Raw genomic sequence first — 24,853 nt, forward strand, 5'->3', positions numbered from 1 at the left:
TTTGCATTTTTAGTAGAGACGGGGTTTCACCATGTTGGCCAGCCTGCTCTCAAACTCATGAGCTCAGGTGATCCACCCGCCTCAGCCTCCCAAAGTGCTGGGGTTACAGGCGTGAGCTAGTGTGCCTGGCTAAGACAGTAGACCTTTTGGGCTTTACAAGCCATATGGCCTCTGTCACGACTGCGTTGACTCTGATGAGATACCACAAAAGCAGCCACAGACAGGAGCAAACAGGCACAGCTCTACCCCATGAAGTTTTGTTTACAAAAACAGGCAGTGGTCTGGATTTGGCCTGGCAATGGCGGTTTGCTGACTCCTGCTCTAGATCAAAAAATGAAAACCTTGAAGAACAAACCAACAGCCTCCCTTAGACAGACCTCTGGTAGCCAAACGCTTCAAATGGTGATCAGGTGACTCTCTTGCCTGGTCACTCTCTAGCCTGTGTAGCTTTTTGCCTCCAGTGGGAGAGCAAAGAGTGAATAGAAACGCTCCTGCCACAGTGGTTTGTGTGTTTTGTTTTTTTTTTTAAGACGGAGTCTCACTCTGCCACCCAGGCTGGAGTGCAGTGGTGCGATCTCAGCTCACTGCAACCTCCGCCTCCCGGGTTCAAGCAATTCTCCCACCTCAGCCTCCCGAGTAGCTGGAATTACAGGAACATGCCACCATCCCAGGCTAATTTTTGCATGTTTAGTACAGATTGGGTTTCATCATGTTGGCCAGGCTGGTCTTGAACTCCTGGCCTCAGGTGATCCACCCACCTTGGCCTCCCAAAGTGCTGGGATTACAGGTGTGAGCCACCGCACCCGGCCACCGCAGTGGTTTTTAGCCTTCACACAGACCTGCCAGAGGCCAGTGAAAGTAATGGACCCTCCCCTCCAGAAAGACACAGCTGAGCAGCACCTACACACGCTTTGTTGGCATGGAATTTCAAGGGTGTGCACGGCTCTCCTGAAGCTTACTCATGGACCATGTAGAGACCTGAAAACCCCAGGGTAAGATCTCCTGCTCACTCGGAAAGAACACTAGTGTCTTTGTATTTGAAAGAGCTCTTACGAGTCACTAAATACTAATAATAATAAAATCAAGAGCACTGTAGAAAAATAGACAAATGACACAAAGAAGCAATTCACAGAAGAAATGCAATTTACCAATAAAGAGGAGAAAAAATGCTCTGTCTCACTAATAATGAAATAAATTTTAAAAATGGCATGTCGTTTTTCATAGGATCAGAGTGGCTATGTTTTAAAGAGGAATGACATGGCACTGGAAGGGACATGGAGGAAAAGACACTCGTGTACGTGCTGGTGGGCCTGTGGTGGCAGGCAGGCTTTTTTTTGAGACAGAATTTCACTCGTCGCCCAGGCCGGAGTGCAGTGGCGCAATCTCGACTCGCTGCAACCTCTGCCTCCCGGGTTCAAGCGATTCTCCTGCCTCAGCCTCCCAAGTAGCTGGGATTACAGGCGCCCTCCACCAAGCCCAGCTAATTTTTGTATTTTTAGTAGAGACGGGGTTTCACCATACTGGTCAGGCTGGTCTCGAACTCCTGACCTCAGGTGATCTGCCCGCCTCAGCCTCCCAAAGTGCTGGGATTACAGGCGTGAGCCACTGCGCCCGGCCAGATAACATTTTTAGAAGACTATTTAACAGTACATATTAAATTTTAAAACATGCTAATCCTGTGGCCCAGGGCTGCCAGGAACTTATTTTACAGAAATACATGTACAGGGATGCTCACTTCAGCAGCATTCATAAATTGGAAAAATTGGGAACCAAGCCAAAAGTCCATTAGTTGGAAACAGGTTGAATAAATGATGGTCCATCTATATTAAAGAATAATATACAGAACTGCTTAATAATAAGGCAGATCTCTAAGTACTGACAGGAAAGGATGTAAAAGATACATTAAGGGAAAAGGCAAGTTATCACAGTTCTTTTTTTTTTAAGAAAAAAAAAAAGAATAACACTGGTACATGCAGATCTTTTAAATACTGAAGAAATATATTCCAAACTGATGAAGACAGGCTGATAGAATTTTTTTTTTTTAAACGGAGTTTCGCTCTTGTTGCCCAGGCTGGAATGCAATGCCGCGGTCTCGGCTCACTGCAACCTCCGCCACCCAGGTTCAAGCGATTCTCCTGCCTCAGTCTCCCAAGTAGCTGGGATTACAGGCGTGTGCCACCATGCCCGAGTAATATTTTTGTATTTTTAGTAGAGATGGGGTTTCATTTCACCATGTTGGCCAGGCTGGTCTCGAACTCCTGACCTCAGGTGATGGGAACCTTCTCAGCCTCCCAAAGTGCTGGGATTACAGGTGTGAGCCACTGCGCCTGGCAGGCTCATAGAAGTTTAGTCTACAATTCATATTTCTGAAATGTTAAATTTTTACTTTTATTTTTGGGACAAGGTCTCGCTCTGTCACACAGGCTGGAATATAGTGGTGTCATTGTGGCATACTGTGGCCTGGAACTTCTGGGCTCAAGCCTTCCTCCCACCTCAGCCTCCCGAGGAGCTGGGACTACAAGCAACTGCCACCATGCCCTGGCTAATTAAAAAAAAAAAAAAATTGGAGAGACAAGGTGTCTCGCTATGTTGCCCAGGCTGGTCTCAACCCTGGCCTCAAATGATCCTCCCACCTTAGCCTCCCAAAGTGCTGGGATTACAGGTGTGAGCAACTGCTCCCAACCTGAATTTTTAAAATAAAATCATTTTTGGGCCAGGTATGGTGGCTCACACCTGGAATCCCAGCACTTTGGGAGGTCAAGGTGGGAGGATCTGTTGAGCCCAGGAGTTTGAGACCAGCCTGGTCAACATAGTAAGACCCCATCTGTAAAAAATGAAAATAAAAAATGTAATGAAAAAAATTTTGTTTTATAATTATAAAACATAAAAAAAGACAAAGAATTCTTACTGGCCTATTAGCTCCAACCGCAGGGTCCCTTTTAAAGTCTTTCTTTTTTTCCTTTTTTTTTTTTTGAGGGGGAGTCTTGATCTTGTCACCCAGGCTGGAGTTCAGTGGCGCGATCTCGGCTCACTGCAAACTCCGCCTCCCGGCCTCAAGCGATTCTCCTGCCTCAGCCTCCCAAGTAGCTGGGATTCCAGGGACCCACCACTGTGCCCAGCTAATTTTTGTATATTTTAGTAGAGACGGGGTTTCACTATCTTGGGCCAGGCTGGTCTCGAACTCCTGACCTCATGATCCACCACCCCCATCGGCCTCCCGGAGTGCTGGGATTACAGGTGTGAGCCACCGCACCCGGCCTAAAGTCTTTCTTAACAGGGATTCTTGGTCGTTTTTCAGACAAAACACCTCTCGGCATTTCGGGGTGTGAGGTCCTCAAGCTCAAGGACCATCTCGTTCCTTTATCCCTGAAATTCAGGCCTGCCGTGACAGAGGCGTCGCGTGACTAAAATAATGGAGGTGAGGCCAGGTTTTTAGTTTTCATGCTGATGAAAGAGCTGCTGGTTTTCGGCCGAGCGCCGTGGCTCACGCCTGTCATCCCAGCACTTTGGGAGGCTGAGGCGGGCAGATTGCCTGAGATCAGGGGTATGAGACCAGCCTGGCCAACATGGTGAAACCCCGTCTCTACTAAAAATACAAAAATTAGCGAGGCGTGATGGTGCACGCCTATAGTCCCAACTACTCGGGAGGCTGAGGTAGGAGAATTGCCTGAACCCGGGAGGCGGAGGTTGCAGTGAGCCAAGATTGCGTCACTGCACTCCAGCCTGGGCAACCGAGCAGACTCAAAAAAAAAAAAAAGAAAAAGGAAAAAAGAAGAGGTCCAGAAGCCCCCAGAGCTCCCTCAAAGCTAAACAAGAACCCTTCAATGGCACGACAAGGGAAATCAGAAACCAGAGTGTACCACAAATAGTAATGGTAGGTACTGTGTCTTAGAAACTTTTTCACCGGTAAACTGATGCAGGCGAGGTTTCCTTGATGGACAGAAGCCTCTCTGAAGAAGCTATTATTCTCACTTCTTTCCCAATGGCCAGCTCGGAATGGCACAATTGCCCAACTGGGCGAGCCCACAGAGTTCCCTTCTTCCCTCTGGGAGAGACTTTTTGGTTCCTCTTTTGACTTTCTTTTTTGTTGTTGTTTTTGAGACAGAGTCTGGCTCTGTCGCCCAGGCTGGAGTGCAGTGGCTTGATCTTGGCTCACGGCAACCTCCGCCTCCCAGGTTCCAGCAATTCTCCCGCCTCAGCCTCCGAGTAGCTGGGATTACAGGCATGCACCACCCGCCCGGCTAATTTTTGTATTTTTTAGTAGAGACGGGGTTTCACCATGTTGGCCAGGCTGGTCTCAAACTCCTGACCTCAAGTGATCCGCCTGCCTCAGTCTCCCAAAGTGCTGGGATTTCAGGTGTGAGCCACCATGCCCAGCCCCTTTTTTGACTTTCTTTCTTTCAACCCCACCTTCCTTCTGCCTCCCTGACATCAAGAAGGAGCATATTTTGTGATGTCCTGGGGCTCCCAACAAGGGGGTGCTTAGTACCCCGAGAAAACATCTCCCCCAGGCGACTGTCTGTGCCCGGGCACGGAGGAAACAAGAGGAGCAGAAGACCAGATGTTCCCTGCATTTTCCATCTGGCTCCGGACAAAGGCAAAGGTTGAGGCAGTTCCACGGGAGGCGGGTGGTCAGGCTGCTCCATGAGCCGAAGCTCCCGGAGACCCTGATGACAGCTGCCGAGGAAAACAGGAAAAGAAAGTGGGCGGCAGCGTTTTGTCTTCCTGCCTCTGCCTTCCTTGGGCACAAGGCTAGTGAGCTGCTTCCGCAGCATCAAAGCCCAGATCAGAAGGCAGGGAATGTCGGCCAGGCCAGGTGGCTCACGCCTGTCACCCCAGCGCTTTGGGAGGCCAAGGCGGGTGGATCACCTGAGGTCAGGAGTTTGAGACCAGCCTGACCAACATGGCGAAACCCCATGTGTACTAAAAATACAAAAATTAGCCGGGTGTGGTGGCGCACGCCCATAGTCCCAGCTACTCGGGAGGCTGAGGCAGGAGAATCGCTTGAACCTGGGACGCGGAGGTTGCAGTGAGCCGAGATCCCCCCACTGCACTCCAGCCTGGGCGACAGAGCAAGACTCCGTCTCAAAAAAAAAAAAAAAGGCAAGGGATTGTGAAGCCACGCCCTGCTGCCTGTGGACCTCAGCTGAGGAGGCCCTGCCAGGCCACCTCGCCCATAGCCCCTCTACTGTTTGGGACACCCAGGCACATGCAGGCACATGGAAGGCAAGGAAACAGAAACCAATCAAAGCGGCCTCAAATTTAGAAACAGATTACTGAACTACAGAGCTTTAAAAAATCTGTACTCACTGTTAATGAGGTGAAGGTCATACACATCCCACCAAAGCCATTCAGAGCCAGGGCGATGAAGATGAGCACGGAGAGAGCTGCAGGGACATGGAAAGCTCGTGAGTGGAGACCCCAGCTGAGCTCCAGGGAAGCCGGGACCAGCCCAGAGTCCTGCGCGGTGCAGGCTCCCAGTAAATCCAGTAAACGCAGGCCGGGGTTAGTACCTGACATCTGGGGAGTGGAACTGCCCCTTTCTCACCCCCTCCTCTAGGCCTATTTCTTTTTCTTTTTTAATCGAGACGTAGTTTTGCTCTTGTCACCCAGGCTGGAGTGCAATGGCACGATCCTGGCTCACTGCAACCTCTGACTCCCGGGTTCAAGTGATCCTCCTGCCTCAGCCTCCCAAGTAGCCGGGATTACAGGCATGCGCCACCACACCCGGCTAATTTTTGTATGTCTTGCCATGTTGGCCAGGCTGGTCTCGAACTCCTGGCCTCGGGTGATCTGCCGATCTCAGCCTCCCAAAGCGCTAAGATTACAGGCATAAGCCACCATGCCCAGCCTCCTCTTGCCTATTTCACAAAGCGTGGGCTCTTGAAAAAGCTGCACACCCATCTTCTTTTCTCCAATTAATATTAGCAGTGTCCAGGCGCAGTGACTCACACCTAGAATCCCAACACTTTGGGAGGCTGAAGCAGGAGAATTGCTTGAGCCCAGGGGTTCAAGACCAGCCTGGGCAACAAAGTGAGACCCCATTTCTAAAAAAAAGTTAAAAATTAGCCAGGTGAAGCCAGGCGCGGTGGCTCACGCCTGTAATCCCAGCACTTTGGGAGGCTGAGGCAGGTGGATCACGAGGTCAGGAGATCAAGACCATCCTGGTTAACACAGTGAAACCCCATCTCTAATAAAAATACAAAAAATTAGCCAGGCGTGGTGGCGGGTGCCCGTGGTCCCAACTACACAGGAGGCTGAGGCAGGAGAATGGCGTGAACCCGGGAGGTGGAGGTTGCAGTGAGCTGAGATTGCGCCATTGCACTCCAGCCCGGGCGACAGAGGGAGACTCTGTCTCAACAACAACAACAAAAAAATTAGCTAGCTGTGTGTGTGCGTGCCTGTAGTCCCAGCTACTCTGGAGGCTGAAGTGGGACGATCGCTTGAGCCTGGGAGGTCCAGGGTGCAGTAAGCTGTGACTGCACCACTGCACTCCAGCCAGGGTGACAGAGAGAGACCCTGTCTCTAAAACAAAACAAAACAAAACAACAACAACAAAAAAACAAACAGCAGCGAGCAGGAGGCCTAAGAAACCAAAAATACAGGTTCCTGAAAATCAGTAGATGAGCCTGGCTAAGATTTTGGTGAAACTCGAGTCCTCTTTTGGTGTTTGCTCTACAAATCCTTGAACAGGGTTGGGGACCAGGTGGCTTCTAAGCCATCCTTCATGCTTTGGCCTGTGCTGCCTGGAGGGGACTCAGCTTGTGACTTCTGCACACACCGATGACCATGCCCCTGCAGCCGGCCTGGTTCTTAGAACTTGCCTCTCAGGTTGGCATCAGTGAGGGACTGGCTTGGTTTGGTGATGAGATGGAAGTTGCTCATACCCTGGAAGCTCCTGTCTGGGGTGGCTGCTCTCTGATCTCGCCGTCTATTTGAGATAAGTAACTGAGTAGAGGCGTAACAGGTGTCCCCTCTAACTTGAGCAGGGAGCAGCAGGCCCAGGACAGTGTCCAAGAGCAGGTGGGCCTGGGAGCAGCTCAGGGCACTCTCTCCCCGGTCCCTGACAGAAGATGGAGGGAGAGGACACTCACCGTTTGGTTTACTTGCTCCGTACGCAATCAGCAAGCAGGAAACCGCGAAGCAGGCGCTAAAACCAAGCAGAAACGCAATGTTATTTACCATTATGACTTTATTCAGTGTTATTGTTTTGTTTTTGTTTTTGGTTTTTGGTTTTTCTTGAGACAGAGCCTTGCTCTGTCACCCGGGCTGGAGTGCAGTGGCGCGATCTCGGCTCACTGCAACCTCCGCCTCCCAGGTTCAAGCATTTCTCCTGCCTCAGCCTCCCAAGTAGCTGGGATATTACAGGCGCCCACCACCACGCGTGGCTAATTTTTTTATTTTTAGTGGAGACAGGGTTTCACCATGTTGGCCAGGCTGGTCTCGAACTCCTGGCCTCAGGTGACCCACCCAACTCTGCCTCCCAAAAAGCTGGGATTACCAGTGTAAGCCACCGTGCCCAGCCCATTTTCATTTATATTTTTGTATATGTATTATAAAGCACATTAAGAATGGCATAGGGGGCCGGGAGCCACTGCACTCCAGCTCCAGTTGCTTGGGCAACAACAGCAAAACTCCAACTCAAAAGGAAAAAAAAAAAAAAAAGAATGGCATAGGGGCCAGGCACGATGGCTCACGCCTGTAATCCCAGCACTTTGGGAGGCCGAGGCGGGCAGATCACAAGGTCAGGAGATCGAGACCATCCTGGCTAACACAGTGAAACCCCGTCTCTACTAAAAATACAAAAAATTAGCCGGGCGTGGTGGCAGGCGCCTGTGGTCCCAGCTACTCGGGAGGCTGAGGCAGGAGAATAGCGTGAACCCGGGAGGCGGAGCTCGCAGTGAGCCGAGATCGCGCCGCTGCACTCTAGCCTGGGCGACAGAGGGAGACTCCATCTCAATAAATAAATAAATAAATAAATAAATAAATAAATATGAAAAATATAAAAATTAGCTGGGTGTGGTGGCAGGCGCCTGTAATCCCAGCTACTCGGGAGGGTGAGACAGGAGAATTGCTTGAACTGGGGAGGCAGAGGTTGCCGTGAGCCGAGATCACGCCACTGCACTCCAGCCTGGGCGACACAGCAAGACTCCGTCTTGAAAAAAAAAAAAAAAAAAAGAGCACAGATATACATCATTTATAATTCCATGTGCTTATTATATTGGGGGTACGTGTTGAAAATCTTTTTTCTGGTGGAGCTATAAGGTCAAACGGGCTGTGGAAACCAGTGTTGTTGGTTTTTTTTCTCATCAGATGGATACTGTGCCAGCTTCGTAACAAGGTTTGAGGGAAGCATGTCTCACACATGCGAGGGAAACCCCAATTATCATGCTTATGAACTACAAAGGGATGGGAAACACATGTTCTTAGTGACAAGCAGCTCCGGTCCCTGGGCGGCCTGGAGCCTGGAGCTTTTCTTATTCGGTACTGGAGCACGGCGAGGACCACAGTACCTGCTGATTCGGTGGCGGACGGGGTAGGAACTCCATTCTGGAGGGCCTTCAGGGAGCTCCACAGTACACCTGATATCAGGTACGACCAGGATACCCTTCTGTGGGGAACTCAGCCCAGGGGGTCCACCTGCCCACTCCCTGCCCCCTAAGGGACCCACACTGACCTGCCCAGCAGCCTGAGCTTCCTCGGGCCATACTTGTCCATGACGATACCCAGGGGCAGGGTGATGGCACTGAGCAGAAAGGAGCCCACAGTGAAGGCCAAATTTAGCATCTCGTCCTGGGCCTGGCAGCTGAGCCAGCCGTTCATCCAGCTCACCTCCTCGTGCCCCGGCTCTGCTGTGCCGCCCACTGTGCCATTGGTGACATTCTCTGTGTGAAGAGGGAAGGAAACCCTGACCTCAGGGTCATGACAGGGATTCCCAAAGATCAGAAGGGCAGGTGCCCATTCAGAGTCCCCCCACTGGGAATGCCAGGGCTGGCTGGCGGCCTCTCGAGGGCTCAGGCTACCCCGCAGCAGGCTTGGATGGCCATTTGGCCCAAGTCCCCTGGAGTGAAAATGTAGAGGTTCTTAACTTTTGTGGGGGCCATGGACCCTTTGAAAAATCCAATAAAGACCTCCCCAGAAAATGCACACCAAGGTTTATCCACAGTTTCAGGAGCTTTGTGTGTCCCTTGAAGAGCAACGAAGCCCAGGCTGAGAGTCCCATTCGAGAGCATCCGCCACCCTAGAACGGCAGACCTCAGGGCCCAGCCTTGGCTGTGGGGCCCCAGGCTGGTGAGAACCTTCTCACGGCAGCTATGTCCGTGGGGACAGACTGCAGCCAGTATGGAGGCAGAACCCAGACCACTTGGGAAGCACAAGCACTGGTCTCACCCCAATAGCCTGGTTCTCCTCTGTCCATGTGGGGAGACTGCGGCGCCTCCTTCAATGGGAAGTCCAGCTGCCTTCTCAAACATAGAACAGATGCCACCTTCTCCCCCTGATATTTTCTTTTTCTTTTTTTTTTTGAGGCGGAGTCTCACTCTGTTGCCCAGGCTGGAGTGCAGTAGCACGATCTCGGCTCACTGCAACCTCCGCCTCCCGGGTTCAAGCAATTCTCCTGCCTCAGCCTCCCGAGTAGCTGGGATTACAGGCACCTGCCACCGCGCCCGGCTAGTGTTTGTATTTTTAGTAAAGATGGGGTTTCATCATGTTGCCCAGGCTGGTCTCGAACTCCTGACCTCAGGTGATCCTCTCACCTCTGCCTCCCAAAGTGCTGGGATCACAGGCGTGAGCCGCCACACCCAGCCGATATGCACCTTTCTTATTTTCCTTGCCGGGGTCACAGTGGTGCCATCCCGTGGCCATGCCTAGACCTCGCTGGGTGCTGAGTCTGGTGTGTTTGCCACACCCAGCCCTTAATGGCCCCCTTCAAAGTCCACCCAGCACCAAAACAACACAGAAAGGAAGAGAAAAGTGCTGTGGCAGCTGAAGATGGGAGGGTGGAGGACGGGCTGGGAACGTGGCTGAGGAGCTCTCCTGGCCGGGACTGCTAGTTAAGAGATGCTGACTAATCCTGCAGAAAACAGGAGCCGACTTTGATTAGACATGAGGTCACGCTGGGAGAGTCAAGGAAACGCTCTTCTTCCGGTAACTGCCTGCCTTCCAATTGCAGCCCTCTGGCGCCAGGGCTGTAGCGCCGAGGTTTGCAAAAGCTTGCTCAGGCCTCTCGGGGTTCCTCCAAGGTTACTGGAAAGGATGCGCACAGGTGGACTCGTGCTTCATGCCAACGTGTGGCCAAGGAGCCCCGCCGGGGCCGTGTGGATGAAGAGCGTGGAACTGGAATCTGGTTTCTAGCTTCCAGTGTTTGATTCTCCACTTTCTACCTGCATGACCTTGCTCTAGCTCAGTTTCCTTGTCCATAACATGGACATCATATAATGATAAGATCCACCTCCTAGAGTGTGGGGGAAGATCAATGAGAAAAATTCAGAAAACCTTCTGGAGCTCACCCAGGCATAGAAAGCACTCAATAATGAATAGCTACAAGTTGCTGCTGTTCTCGTGGTTATCATGATCATTGCTGCTATTGGAGGCTCCGGCGGGGAATCACGGCACCATCAGCTGGCACAGAGCCGGATGCAGTGGCTGTGGGGAGCACAGTCCCGTCAGCGTGTGTGGAAGCGCAAAGACATGTCTAATCCCCCACTGGGCTGTGAGCCCCGAAGGGCAGGGCCTGCACTGTGGTCACTTCTGTGTCCCCAGTATCTCACCCAGGTCTTGGCCTACAATAGCTGTTTACTGAATAAATAAAAACAACAGGGCCAGGTGTGGCGGCTCATGCCTGTAATCCCAGCACTTTGGGAGGCAGAGGCGGGTGGATCGCCCGAGGTCAGGAGTTCAAGACCAGCCTGGCCAACATGGTGAAGCCCCGTCTCTACTAAAAATTCAAAAATTAGCCAGGCATGGTGGCGCATGCCTGTAATCCCAGCTACTCAGGAGGCTGAGGCAAGAGAATCATTGAACCCGGTAAACGGAGGCTGCAGTGAGCCAAGATCACACACCACTGCACTCCAGCCTGGGCAAATAGTTAGACTCTGTCTCAAAAAAAACAAAAAACAAACAAACAAACAAACAGAATCAGGCCGGGTACAGTGGCTCAGTCTGTAATCCCAGCCCTTCGGGAGGCCAAGGTGGGTGGATCACCTAAGGCCAGGAGTTCAAGACCAGCCTGGCCAATATGGTGAAACCCCATCTCTACTAAAAATACAAAAATTAGCCGGGCATGGTGGGCGTCTATAATCACAGCTACTCGGGAGGCTGAGACAGGAGAATTGCTTGAAGCCGGGAGGCGGAGGTTGTGGTAAGCTGAGATCACACCACTGCACTCCAGCCTGGGCAACAGAGTGAGACCCCGTCTCGAAAAACAAAACAGAACAAAACAAAACAAAAACAATGGCACCAGATCACAATGGCCAAAAAGATCGAGAGAGGAATCAACAGAACCACGTTGAATCGAGGGGGGATTTAAGGAGATCAGAGCCACGAGGTTAACCATGTGGAGCCACAGAAATACAACGTCACCAACCAGATTCCCACCTCGGCCACTTTCTCTCGGTTTTCCAAAAAGAAGCTCTACCACACGGTCAGCCAAACACATGGCAGACGGGGTCCTCGAGCCCGTCAGGGTGGAGCTCAGAGCGGTCATGTACACCGCCACAGCCGACAGGCCTGGGCCACTCGCCCATCCACAGTGGGGCAGCTTCTGGAAAGGAGGAGCTGCTTTGTGAGTTGGTGTTGGTTTCAAATGTCAGCTCTGCCAGCAGCAAAGGAATTGGCTCTGAAGTCAGGGAAAGAGGGTCTCTACAAAGCAACAGCCATTTCCAGGTTGACATGCAGATAGGAGCAAACCAGCACAGAGGTGACAGAGAGGATGGATGGAGAGAGCACGCCAGGGCCCAGGATGGGTGACTTGTGGGGACAGTGACTGCACAGGGGCCGTGGAATAACTGAGGGCTTGGGGGGCTGCACGTTCTACTGCTGCAAGCAGGAGCCACGGGGACAAGGAATGGAGTGGGTGAGGCAGCACTGCCTGAGTAAAGGCACCAGGGACCTCCAGTTACCCCAGGGAGGAACCACAGCTGGGTCTCTAAACCCATGGGTTTTCTCATCTAGAGCCAGAAGATAAAAATCCCAAGGCTAGGCCAGGCACGGTGGCTCACGCCTGTAATCCCAGCACTTTGGGAGGCCGAGGCAGGCGGACCACTTGAGGTCAGGAGTTTGAGACCAGCCTGGCCAACATGGTGAAACCCCATCTCTACTACAAATACAAAAAAATTTAGCCAGGCTTGGTGGCAGGTACCCGTAACCCCAACTACTTTGGAGGCTGAGGCAGGAGAATCGCTTGAACCCAGGAGGCAGAGGTTGCAGTGAGCCGAGATTGTGCCACTGCACTCCAGCCTGGGCCACAGAGTGAGACTCTGTCTCCAAACACACAAACAAACAAACAAAAGTCTTAAATTGATTAGAGATCTGGTCACCCCTTTAACCACATAGGGAAGAGGCAAGGTCAGGGTAGAGGCAAGGGTATCTGTCCTTCCCATCTTTTACCCTGGAGCGACTACACACAGGGGCAGGGACCTTGCACGTAGGCCAACAGCCTTCTCGTCTTAAACAAATCCCTGCCGATGGGGCCACCAGGCCCTCTGCCCGGCCGCCTGCCTCCAGGCCGTCCCGTCCAGCAACAGAGGCGCCTGGGGCCGGGGAGGTGAGCGGCTTCTCCTTCTGCTTGTGGAGCAATTTGAGAGTCTCCCTCCTGCTGGAGGGAAGGAAGCCCTTGGTGAGCCCAGAAGCTCTGTTGACAGTAAACAGCCCACATGCACCCAGCAGATGCCCAAACAGACACACCCAGGCTGTTCCTCTCCCTCTGGTCCCACCTGGGCCACCGTGGGTCAGGAGAGAGACAAACAGATTAAGCACCCAGGAAGTGCCAAGGCGTGGGGTGGCCCTCTGCTCCCAGCCTGGAGCTTGACCCCGGGCCAGCCTGCTCTGCTCACCCCCGGCCAGGCTGCTCTGCTCCTCACCTGCACCTGTTTATTAAACAGATGCCTCCTCTGGGGTGGCCAGAAGTGGCCCAGCCCAGCCTGGCCAGAGAAGGTGAACTGAGAAGACAGGCAAGAGTTGGTGTGGCCAGTGAGTGCCAAGAACAGGAACAGGGCTGCTTAGGAGGAGACCCAGGGCCAGGGAGGACGTACACCGTTCAGCCCCACTCACAGAAGACGCACAAGATCTTTACAGAGGAATCAGGGAGAAAAGAGGGTGCTGTGGCCCCCCAGGCTCCCCTGAGGCAAAGAGGAGCCTCCCCACACCCCGGGGAGACAAAGGGAGGGGGGCCTCCAAGATGATGCTTGAGGGGGCCAAGAAGTACCTGGCTTGAGGTCCCCTCTAAATTCCTGAGCTGCCCCCTTCCCTGACTAGTCGCTTTCCGAGCCCCCCCTCCAGGGTGCGGGCCCCTGGACAGCCCACCGATGGCCCCTGCCCAGGATCTCCCGTCTCTCAAATCCTTAGTCTATCCGGCAACAGGAAGCAGCATCTCAGTCCTCAGTCCGGCAGGGGAGATGTAGGTGAGAGGTCGGCTCAGACACAGAGCAAACAACAGGCAGGAGGGCACGGACAGGCAGAGGCCGTCCTGGGCTGACCAGGGCCTGGCCCCTGAGCAGTGGTCCCAGCAGCGGCTGCCGTGTGTGCAATGAAAGTGTGTGCCAGCTGCCATGCTCAACGGGTGTGCCCACGCCCACCCCATATTCCCCACGAGGATACTGTCAGAGTGTCCCCGAGGGATGCTCAGAGCAGGTAAGTCACTTGCAGAAGGTCTCATGGGGGTCCCTGGGGAAGCTGGGCTTGACTCCAGGCTGTCAGACCCCAAAGCTCCCGCTCTTACCACTCGGTCTGTGCCGATGCTGGCCTACCTGGGCTAGAGGCTCATATCCCAGAGAGAAAATGCTGAGAGAACAGAGCCGGGAAAAGGCTGCCCATGTGCCGGCAACACCAGGAGGCCCTGAATATCGCTTGGTGGGAATGGGACTAAGACTCTCCCACGAGGTCCCTGAGAGCCAGCCTAAGCTGGACAGGACCTTCATGGACACCAGAAGCCAGGGGTGGCCAGTGGATGTCTGTGAGGGAAATGAGGTCACGAACCAAGAAGGAGGGAGGCTGGGGCGGTGGGAAGAGCCAAGGCCACCAGCTCTTCTCTGAGACGCATCCTGAGGCTGCCGGCCCCAGCCTTTAAACCTTCTTACCCATTGCTATGGAATTTTTAAAATTCCAAATAAACTGGGGGAAAAGTTTAAAAGTCATATTTATAGCAATAAAAGTGAAAGGCTGGATTTAAGAAAGCTATCCGGCTGGGCGCGGTGGCTCACGCCTGTAATCCCAGCATTGTGGGAGGCCGAGGCGGGTGGATCACGAGGTCAGGAGATCAAGACCATCGTGGCTAACACGGTGAAACCCCGTCTCTACTAAAAATACAAAAAAATTTAGCCAGGCGTGGTGGCGGGCGCCTGCAGTCCCAGCTACTGGGGAGGCTGAGGCAGGAGAATGGCGTGAACCCGGGAGGCGGAGGTTGCGGTGAGCCGAGATCGCGCCACTGCACTCCAGCCTGGGCGACAGAGCAAGACTCTGTCTCAAAAAAAAAAAAACTATCCACACTTGCCTGTGGGTGTGAGGAGAGACTCTAAAAAGAGAGGCCCTTGAGCTGGGCGCAGTGGCTCACGCCTGTAATCCCAGCACTTTGGGAGGCCAAGGCTGGTAGATCACCTGAGGTCAGGAGTTTGAGACCAGCCTGGCCAACATGGTGAAACCCTGTCTCTACTAAAAATACAAAAATTAGCCGGGTGTGGTGGTGGGCACCTGTAATCCCAGCTATTTGGGAGGCTGAGGCAGGAGAATCACTTTAACCCGGGAGATGGAGTTTGCGGTGAGCTGAGATCATGCCATTGTACTCCAGCCTGGGCGACAGAGTGAAACTCCATCTCAAAAAAATAAAATAAAATAAAATACAAATACAAATACAAAAAATTAGCCGGGTATGGTGGCAGGCGCCTGTAATCCCAGCTACTTGGGAGGCTGAGGCAGGAAAATCGCTTTAACCCGAGAGGCAGAGGTTACAGTGAGCCGAGACTGCGCCACTGCACTCCAGCCTGGGCGACAAGAGTGAAACTCCGTTCCCTCCTCCCCATCCCCCAAGAAAAGAGGTCCTCGAGGCAGCAGAGAAATCTCCTGTCCACATCTGCAGCTTCACTCAGCCCGTGGGGATCAAGCCTGGGCCTGCTTCCCCAAGGTGGGCGGCAGCCCCTCTGCCCTTGCAGCGATCTCTGTGCCAGGGCGAGCTCGCAGGGACCTCTGTGCCAGGGTGAGAGGCTCTCTCCCACCACCACAGGTGGAGAAACTGCAGAGGTCAAGAGCATACAACTGGGGTCGGCCTTCATGCCCATGGTCAGACTGTGGGTGACTTCCTCAGGCAGAGGCCGTGATGACTTCTGGTTTCTATGCCACCCAAACATACCAGCATGTGGCAAGCCCTCAGCAATTCACACAAGCCTCTAACAGGGGAATTGGATGGTCGCCCTCCTCTATCTCCCTGGCTTCCTCCTGTCTTGGGAATAAAATTCAGTTTCCCCGAATGGCCTCCCAGTCCCTGCAGCCCCCGCCCCTTCCCACTTCTCTCCTCTCCTCCAGGGTGTACCCTCCTCTCCTCCAGGCTGTACCCTCCTCTCCTCCAGGGCGTACCCTCCTCTCCTCCAGGGCGTATCCTCCTCTCCTCCAGGCTGTACCCTCCTCTCCTCCAGGCTGTACCCTCCTCTCCTCCAGGCTGTACCCTCCTCTCCTCCAGGCTGTACCCTCCTCTCCTCCAGGCTGTACCCTCCTCTCCTCCAGGGTGTACCCTCCTCTCCTCCAGGCTGTACCCTCCTCTCCTCCAGGGTGTACCCTCCTCTCCTCCAGGGTGTACCCTCCTCTCCTGAATCACCCCTCCTCAACCTCCAGGCTTCCACCTGAACCGCAGAGAGGCCCTCCCACCCAGCAGGAGCCACATCTCCGCTGCTGTTCTAGCTCCTGGCGCCCTGCTTTCTTGGGGGCCCGACCACCCCCTGGAATTATACGGGTTACACAGGTATGCGTGTGATGACTTGTTTCCTCTGCACCCAGCACGGCACCTTCGTCAATGTTTACTGAATGTTTAGGTTACAAGAAAGAGGGGATTAACGATCCACATGTAGGCCTGGAGCGGTGGCTCACGCCTATAATCCCAGCAATGTGGGAGCCCGAGGTGGGTGGATCGACTGAGCCCAGGAGTTCAAGACCAGCCTGGGCAACATGGTGAAACCCCTATCTCTACAAAACATTTAAAAATTAACTGGGTATGGTGGCTTACACCTGTAGTCCCAGCACTTTGGGAGGCTGAGGCTGGTGGATCACTTGAGCCCAGGAGTTTTGAGACCAGCCTGAGCAACGTGATGAAACCCTCATCTCTACAAAAAATTTGACCGGGCGTGGTGGCTCACACCTGTAATCCCAGTGCTTTGGGAGGCCAAGGCGGGTGGATCACCTGAGGTCAGGAGTTCGAGACCAGCCAGGCCAACATGGTAAAACCACATCTCTACTAAAAAATACAAAAATTAGCCGGGCGTGGTGGTGGGCACCTGTAATCCCAAAAACAAAAACAAAAAACTAACTGGGTTTGATGGCTCATGCTTGCAGGCCCAGCACTTTGGAAGGCTGAGGCAGGAGGATCGCTTGAGCCCAGGAGTTTGAGACCAGCCTAGGCAACATGGCGAGACCCTGTCTCTACAAAAAATACAAAAATTAGCTGAGTATGGTGGCGCACACTTGTAGTCCCAGCTACTGCTACTCGGGAGGCTGAGGCGGGAGGATTGCTTGAGCCCAGGAGTCAAGGCCGCAGTGAGCTGTGATTGCAACACTACATTCCAGACTGGGCAACAGAGCGAGACCCTGTCTCAAATAAAAAAAAACCATCCACAGGTAGCCGCAGCCCCCCAGGCTGACCCTGACCCTGTTGAAGCGGGGGCCACTGGACAACAGAGAAAACGAAGAAAGAGCTCAGGAGTGGGCCGTCACGTTGCCATCCCAGAGGCCAAGAGGACACAGCTCCAGGAAGCCCCGTGCTTCTCGGGCTGAGAACCCAACTGGTCTCCTGCCCTCACCAGGGGGACGAGGGAGGCATCCAGCAGCCAACACCTGGAGGACGTTGTGCAAAACCCATTGCCAACTTCCCGCACCCAGGTCCCCAAACCCAGCCTGCCACGTCTCCCAGCAGGCAAGGAAGAACAAACTGCGGGGCAGCCGAGAAATGAGCTGTTTCCTTCCTTCTGCCACCTCACCAGGCTGGAACCCAACACGGTGTCTGTGGCGAGATTCTGGCTGGAGTCGTAAGAAAGAGTTCTAAGAACCTTTCAACAGGTTCAGGCAAATTTTCTTTAGAGAACAAACTAAAGCATCGTCCTAGAGTGACACGAAGCTGACAAATTTGCATCTCAATCAGCCGGACACTGCTCAGGCTTTCACAAGTCTAATTCAATAAATTCAAAAATGGCCTATCTGCTTCTCTGCAATTCAGCCATGCACCAAGTTTGAAAATGTTAGACTGAAGCAGAAACCTTCACCCTAACTTCGCCAGGCACTCCCAGACGAGCCAAATGCGGGGATTTCTGGCCTGAAAGAAAACTGGTGATGCAGACTCCAAGAATCAAGGAGCAGTGTGACCAGAGAGATAAGCTGTGTGGAATCAGCAGCCTTCCCGCCCAGAACGTGGGCTCAGCATGTTTGCCAGATAATAAGAAAAACCAAAATTGGAGGCAGGAGCAAAAGTTCGGGATAAGAAGTTGATGTTCAACCCACAATCCTGACCCTTCACCTTCACTTTGGTTTAGTGGAGTTACCTGTCAAGTCTGCCCAGGGCTTAAAACACCAACTCAGCACTGCGCTGGCACAATCTCTGGGACTCCTCCCACTTAGACAGAGGAGGAAGCTGAGGTTGAGGCAGGAATGAAAGGACCAGACCCAATTCTGCCAAAACCATACAATCAATTAAATCCGTGGACATTCTATTAAAAAAAAACAAAAAACAAAAAACAAACAAAAAACACCTAGAATCTGACCTTCCGACATCATGGTGGGTTAAAAAAAAAACACACAAAAAAACACCTGCCCACAACAGTTCTCTGGTCTGGGTGAGACACTAAAAGCTTTCTCTGGGGACGATGACTTTTTTTCTGCTTTTTTTTTTTTTTTTTAAACCCTGTGTCCAGCCTGAAAGAGCCCACCAGGGAGGCAAGCAGGAAGGGTCACGATCTCTAAGGGGGGAGAGAGGAAAGGAGAGGAAGAAGTAAACACTCCAACCTGTGCCTTTCGGGGACAGGCATTAATCTCCTAACAACTCTTGGCCAAAGCAGAAAGCTTGTTCAGGGAACAAGGTCTGACTCTTCCCAACTCCCAAGATTTCTTGCTGATGTGGGGAAAGACCTGCCAAGAACCCTTAGGCTATTAGGAAATATTTTTGAGTGGCTAAAGGCTAAAGGTTAGTTATAAATGATATACTTTCTGTCCTCTCCCCGCGGCCTCTGCATTCTCCTGCTTTCTCCTGCCCTGAACCTCTCCAGCTAAGCCTCCCTCCCTAGAGACTGGGACACACAGGAATCTCCGGGGCAGATCAGAGAAGGGAAACAGGGAGGCTTCCACAAAGGATTACACCCAGCATGAGCTGGTCCAAAGCTTTCTCTTCCTGCAAAGAGCTCTAGAAAGAAAAGGCCTGCTGCTGGGGATTCAGGAAGTCAAACCTGGGCTACCTCCATCTAAGGGCACTCTAGCACTGGCGACAGGGATTATGTGAGCTCAGCTATTATGCAGCTACCGTTGGGATCAAGGAGAAGGCAGAGGGAAAATTTCCTGTCAAGGTTGCCTAAGAAGGAGGGTAGGAGGCTAGAGGCTGGGGGCTGCTGTGGCCCTCCTGTGGGGCTGAATTTACTGCCCTGTAGTCATCAGGACCCTCCAACAGGGTATGAAGGTGTGAAGGTAAGTGTGTGTTGGGTGGTGCAGATGTCATGTAGAGAAGCATCCTCAGCCTGCCTTCAGCAATTCCAGTGACAAGGCAAAGAGGAGAGAACAACCCTAGCATCATTTCCATAAACGTTCCTTTCTTCTCTTCCCCTTCATCCCCATGGGGTTGGAAAGCCACGGAGATGTCCTCAGAGCCCGTGGGGGAAATGTCCTTTGGAGAATCATAAGGCAGCAAAAATAGACAAGAAATTGTGTCCAGCAAGCACTTAGGAGACTCCACAATGGCCTGAGGAACGTCTAGATTCTAGATGAGCCCTCCCTGGGGTGGAGGCAAGGCCACTTCCTCTCCTGCTGCACCCCAGCCCCTTAATCTGGAGTTCCTCTTTCTCACAAGCAGACAGCAACATGTTTACTACCAGCCAAGCTATGTTCCAGGGCTGGGAGGAGAGGAGAGCAGTCCAGCACTGTTCGTAGCGGGTGGAAGGAACACCCTGGACAGCAGGTGGGGTTCTGGGTGGATGGCAGGCCCAGGCTCTGCGGCCTTGCGCAAGACAGATCGCTCTGAGCCTCGATGTCTTCGTCCACAAAACAGGGGCAATGACAAGTACCCGGCAGGGCTGGGTGAGGATCAGATGGGCCTTCTGATACCCTAGAGGCACTGGGCAATGCGGTGCTGTGGCTCGCTAGGTCTTCGCCCCCATCCCGCCCCCTCCCAAAGCCCCAGCTCCAGGAGCCCCCCGCAACCCCAGGCGCTTGTCTCACCTGGCTCGGTACACAGGTAGGAGTAAAAGCCCTCTGACTTGAGCATGATGAGCAGCGAGCCCCAGCCCAGGAGGACTGCCGAGAAGAGGAGGTTCTCCAGCACGGCCGTGCAGGCCATCCACCAGCGGCGCCGATGGGCAGTGGCCAGGGTGGGCGCCATGGTGCGGCGCGGCGCGGCTCCGGCTCCGGCTCCGGCTCTGCACCACCTGCGCACAGAACTCGGCGTCAGCGGCCGGCCCTTGCCCAGCCCCTGCGGCCGCCCCCAGCAGCCCCGACCGCTGCCGCAGGGCTCGGGATTGCCACCCCTCCCCGGCCGCGGCGGCCGGTGCGCGCAGCAGAGGAAGCGAACCCCAGCCCTGCCCGGACCTGGGACACCCCGAGCCCGCGGCCGGCTCGTACCGCTGCCCTCCGCTACGACAGAGCCGCCCCGGCCAGGCAGGGAGACGTCTCCCGCAGCTCACTCCGAGGTAAACTGAGGCATGGAGGCAAGAAGGGGCTAACGCATGCTCAGGGCCGTGGAACTAGTCCTGGCCTGCAGCAGGACTGACATCGCCTGGGGCCAGCATGGAACGCAGCGTGAGGTGGGCAGGGGCAGATCCGAGGGCTGCCTCTCCCAGGGACCCTGACAGGTGCCCTCCCGCCCGCGCCCGAGACCCTTCCCCAGAGCTGGTTTCTTCAACCACAAGATCAGCGCCCAGACCTACGGAACGGCCCGCCCCGGCGCGCTCATTGGCCGGACGGCGCAGGAACTGCCGCGCCATTGGCCGCCGTCTAGGTCGCTAGGCGCTGCGGCCACGCGAACCCAGCGTGGGAGACGAGGAGCCGGTTCAAACCGGTGGCGCGAGCCAGCCGCGCGACCCCCATCTCGGGCGTTCCCCCGGCAACTCGCCCGTTTCCATGGCCTCGGACCCCCGCGCCTCCATTCCCCAGCCCGCATCTGTTCGTCATCTCTTCCCTGGCGGCCCCTCATCGCTCCATCTCTCTCCTCGTTCCCACGTTTTCTCCCTACGCCCCTTCGGCGGCCGCTTCTGCCCCCGCGCCCTCGCCCCGGCCGCGATCCCCTCCCTGCTGCAGCTCACCCGGCTCCTCCGGCGTGTGTCGGGCCCGCCCGGCGCCTTTTCTGCCCTCTTTTATTCCAGCCCTTTTATTCCGACCCCAAGAAGAAAACACTGCCGCCCGCTGATTGGCTGAGCGGGGCTGGAAACAGGCGTCGACCAATCAGCAGCCAGCCCCCCGCCCGCCCCGCCGCGAGCAGAAGCCGGTTCCGGCCGGACTCGGAGACAAACAAGAGAGATGGGGGACGGGAGGGGCCTGGGCGCTGCGGGCCGGGCCTCGGCTTTGCAGCCTTCAACCCGAGTCACAGCGCGGCCGGGAATCCCCGGCGACATCGCCCCGCGGCCTCTCCAGCGGCCTGACCCTGCGAGGCTGGGGCTCCGGCTCCGCGTCCCGGCCCCCAGCGGACTCCCCCCAGAAGCCGCCGGGCCACCAGCGCCCCCAGCCGGGCTCTCCCGCGGCCGCCCCGCCGTCCCCAGCTGCCCCCTGCGCGCGGGTCACCACGCCCAGATGCGCCGGCTCCGCACGGTGGTTCCACTCTCGAATCCCCACCCCGCCTCCTCCCCACGCAGCGCCGCCGTCCCCGCCGCCTCGGGCTTTGGGTCCTGGTTCCTCGCTCCCCCGCCCCGGTGGTTCCCGTCCCGGCGTATTCGGGGCCTGGGATCCCGGACCCGGTCCAGCCGTGGCGCCCCCCGCTGATGCACCGACCCCTTCCCCTCTCCCCGGTGGCGTCTGCCCGGTCCCTGGAAGTTGGCCCTTGGAAATCTGCAAGGGGATTTGGGGCTGGTCTGTCCCGTCCTAGGATGGGGTCTCCTGAGCTCCCCCCATCAGACTGACCTTTCTCCGCCCGTGTTCACGCACTGCTCGGTCCTCCGGGGACCCTCCACCCTTGATCGTCATCTGGGTGCTCCCTGCCCGCGCTGGCCACCTTCACCCCGTTCCCCGTCCCTTTCAGGGAAGGTCCCCTCTGCAGGGCGATGCTACGGGCCACGTCCGCCAGCTGGTACAAGCTAGGGAGGGTTCGAGGGGGCTCCGGGTCCCCGTCTGATAAGCCCGGGCTCCGAAAGCTCAGCTCCCCGTCTTCGTCCCCCGGATTCGAGGCACTAACCCGACCCGGGAAGACCCTCTGACTGCCCCAGAATCGCCTTGGTCACCCTGGCTCGCTCCGGGGGGCTGGCTTAGCACCCCAGGGCTGCCGCGCGGTGTCCACGTCTGGAATCCCAGCGGTTTGGGAGGCTAAGGTCGGAGGGCCACTTGGGGACAGGAGTTTGAGACCAGCCTGGGCAGCATGGCGAGAACCATCTCTACCAAAATAAAAACCAAAAATAAAACCCCACCACCACCCCAGGGCTGTGGGAGCCCCAAACGCCTCTTGCTCCACCTGCCCCAGTCCGAGTGTGCCCCCTACTGTCTAGAATCCGCCCGGGCCACCTGGCGAGGGCAACCTCCCCCAGACAACGCTTGGAGCTGTCAGCCTGCTGGGGGGCGGCTCCAGCTGGTAGCCTACCCGGTTCCTCACCCTGTGGAACCCTTCCCACTCCCAAGGTTTCAACTGCCATCTGAAAAATCTCTTTCTTCACCCTTCCCTCCTCTTTGAGCAGCCTGACGGCGCTGCAGGGCTCAAACATGCCTCAAATATCCCCCAGAACTGTCCTCCACATTTTCTCTCAGATAACCATACTACTACTGTCTACTGAAGTTAGATACCAAGAACCCTGTCTTTTTTCTTTTTCTTTTTTTTTTTTTTTTTTTGAGACAGGATCTCAGGCACCCAGACTGCTGGAGTGTGGTGGCATGATCATAGCTCACTGCAGCCTCGACCTCCTGGGCTTAGGTGATCCTCCTGCCTCAGCCTCCCAAGTAGCTGGGACCACAGGTGCATGCTACCACACTTGGCTAATTTTTGTATTTTTTGTACAGATAGGGTCTTGCCCTGTTGCCCAGGCTGGTCTTGAAGTCTTGGGCTCAAGTGATCCTCCCACCTCAGCCTCCCAAAGTGCAGGGATTACAGGCATGACTCACAGTGCCCTGCTGAGAACCATCCTTTCATCAGACATTTGTTAGGCAGTCGCTGTGATTCTGCCTCTCCCTCACCGCATCCCCATCAAACTGATACAGCTGTATCTCCTACATATTTACCTAATCGGTCCATCTGTGCCCTTAGGCCCGCAACTACTGTTGTTGAGCCACCTTCAGATTTCAGTTCCTCAAATCCAGCCCCCATCTCATCCCAGGGCACTAAGGGAAATGTAAATGTGACTTCTGCCAAAATCCTTCAGAAACTATTATTTGTAAAACAGGATAAAGTTCCAGTTCCTGGCTGGGCACGGTGGCTCACACCTGTAATACCAGCACTTCGGGAGGCTGAGGCGGGCAGATCACTTGAGGTCAGGAGTTAAAGACCAGCCTGGCCAACATGGTGAAACCCTGTCTCTACTAAAAATACAAAAATGGCTGGGCGCGGTGGCTCACGCCTGTAATCCCAGCACTTTGGGAGGCCGAGGTGGGCAGATCACAAGATCAGGAGTACGATACCAGTCTGGCCAAGATGGTGAAACCCTGTCTCTACTAAAGAAACAAAAAATTAGCTGGGTGTGGTGGCGCACACCTGTAATCCCGGCTACTCTGGAGGCTGAGGCAGGAGAATCACTTGAACCTGGGAGGCGGAAGTTGAAGTGAGCCGAGATCGTGCCACTGCACTCCAGCCTGGGCAACAAGAGCGAAACTTTGTCTGAAAAGAAAAAAAAAAAAAAAGATCTGGGTGATGTGGCACACGCCTGTAATCCCAGCTACCTGGGAGGCTGAGGCAGGAGAATTGCTTGAGCTGGGGAGGCAGAGGTTGCGGTGAGCAGAGATTGTGCCACTGTACTCCAGCCTGGGCAACAAAGCGAGACTCCGTCTCAAAAAAATAAACAAAATTTAAAAGTTCCAGTTCCCCAATTTGACCCACACAGGCTCCTCCCTCTCCCTCCCTCTGAAGGACATCTGACCTGCCTGGTCCCCGATGCTCCAGTCACATGGAATTGCCTGTGGTTTCTGCACCTGCTGTTCTCTCTCCTCTAGCTCGCGACATAGCCTCATTTTGGACGGCACCTCCGCTGGGAAGCCTTCCCTAACCACTCCCCATTAATACTGTTCACTTTATTTGTCCACTGCTGGCATTGTTTTATAATTAGCTATTCGTCTGTTTGCCTTCCTCTCTAATTGACTATGAACTCTTTGGGGGCAGGACGGTGTCTTATTCAACTTTGTATGACCAGCCCTTGATAGAGAAGCAAGCACAAAGCAGTTGCACAATATGAGTTTGTGGAATGAAAACATGAACTCCTGAAAAGGGGCAAATGGCCAGGTGCGGTGGCTCACACCTGGAATCCCAGCACTTTGGGAGGCTGAGGTGGGTGGATCACCTGAGGTCAGGAGTTCGAGACCAGCCTGGCCAACATGGCAAAACCCCATCTCTACAAAAAGTACAAAAATTAGCTGGGCATGGTGGTGGGCGCCTGTAATTCCAGCTACTCAGGAGGCTGAGGCACAAGAATGGCTTGAACCTGGGAGGCGGAGGTTGCAGTGAGCCAAGACGGAAAAGAAACAACCTTAGAATACTCATAGAACTTTAAATTGTAATGAGATATAATTGTTGATGGCTAAACACACACACAAAAATTATATATACTTTTTAGAAGCTTTAGTGGCTGGGCACAGTGGCTCACACCTGTAATCTCGGCACTTTAGGAGGCCAAGGTGGGAAGATCTTCTGAGGTCAGGAGTTCGAGAGCAACCTGGCCAACATGGCAAAACTCCATCTCTACTAAAAATGCAAAAAAATTAGCTGCACGTGGTGGCATGCGCCTGTAGTCCCGGCTACTCGAGAGGCTGAGGCAGGAGAATCGCTTGAACCTAGGAGGCCGAGGTTGCAGTGAGCTGAGATCGTGCCATTGCACTCCAGCCTGGGCAACAAGAGTGAAACTCC

At 54.4% G+C, this 24,853-nt stretch overlaps 1 protein-coding gene and 1 non-coding gene across 8 annotated transcripts in view, besides 2 other annotated features; both read right to left on the reverse strand.

Annotated features, from left to right (window-relative positions):
* SLC43A2 (solute carrier family 43 member 2) overlaps positions 1 to 22,204 on the reverse strand; it is a 60,835-nt gene extending 38,631 nt beyond the window's left edge. For 3 of the 7 annotated variants that reach the window (NM_152346.3, NM_001321364.2, XM_047435332.1), the window contains exons 1-5: positions 20,910 to 20,950; positions 19,831 to 20,036; positions 8,678 to 8,885; positions 7,095 to 7,150; positions 5,311 to 5,387 (exon numbers count right to left, since the gene is read on the reverse strand). In NM_152346.3, coding sequence (NP_689559.1) covers positions 5,311 to 5,387; positions 7,095 to 7,150; positions 8,678 to 8,885; positions 19,831 to 19,990 — 501 coding nt within the window. In that variant the 5' untranslated portion in view covers positions 19,991 to 20,036; positions 20,910 to 20,950. Of the gene's footprint in view, positions 1 to 5,310; positions 5,388 to 7,094; positions 7,151 to 8,677; positions 8,886 to 19,830; positions 20,037 to 20,196; positions 20,533 to 20,909; positions 20,951 to 21,720 lie in introns of those variants that run through there. The other 4 variants (NM_001321365.2, NM_001284498.2, XM_017024179.3 and 1 more) reach the window with 4 other exon arrangements.
* LOC124904121 (small nucleolar RNA U13) lies at positions 8,308 to 8,411 on the reverse strand. The gene has a single exon (XR_007065999.1). It is a non-coding gene; the product is annotated as a small nucleolar RNA U13 (small nucleolar RNA).
* Positions 19,123 to 19,660: an enhancer, noted in NCBI's record as "H3K27ac-H3K4me1 hESC enhancer chr17:1530301-1530838 (GRCh37/hg19 assembly coordinates)". NCBI's record gives its function as "activates a minimal SCP1, AML or CMV promoter by ChIP-STARR-seq in naive H9 embryonic stem cells {active_cell/tissue: H9 hESC(naive)}" and the evidence as "EXISTENCE:reporter gene assay evidence [ECO:0000049][PMID:30033119]".
* Positions 19,661 to 20,198: an enhancer, noted in NCBI's record as "H3K27ac-H3K4me1 hESC enhancer chr17:1530839-1531376 (GRCh37/hg19 assembly coordinates)". NCBI's record gives its function as "activates a minimal SCP1, AML or CMV promoter by ChIP-STARR-seq in primed H9 embryonic stem cells {active_cell/tissue: H9 hESC(primed)}" and the evidence as "EXISTENCE:reporter gene assay evidence [ECO:0000049][PMID:30033119]".
* Positions 22,205 to 24,853: the final 2,649 nt, after the last annotated feature.

Source organism: Homo sapiens, chromosome 17, assembly GCF_000001405.40.
Source record: "Homo sapiens chromosome 17, GRCh38.p14 Primary Assembly".
NCBI classification, from domain to species: Eukaryota; Metazoa; Chordata; class Mammalia; order Primates; family Hominidae; genus Homo; species Homo sapiens.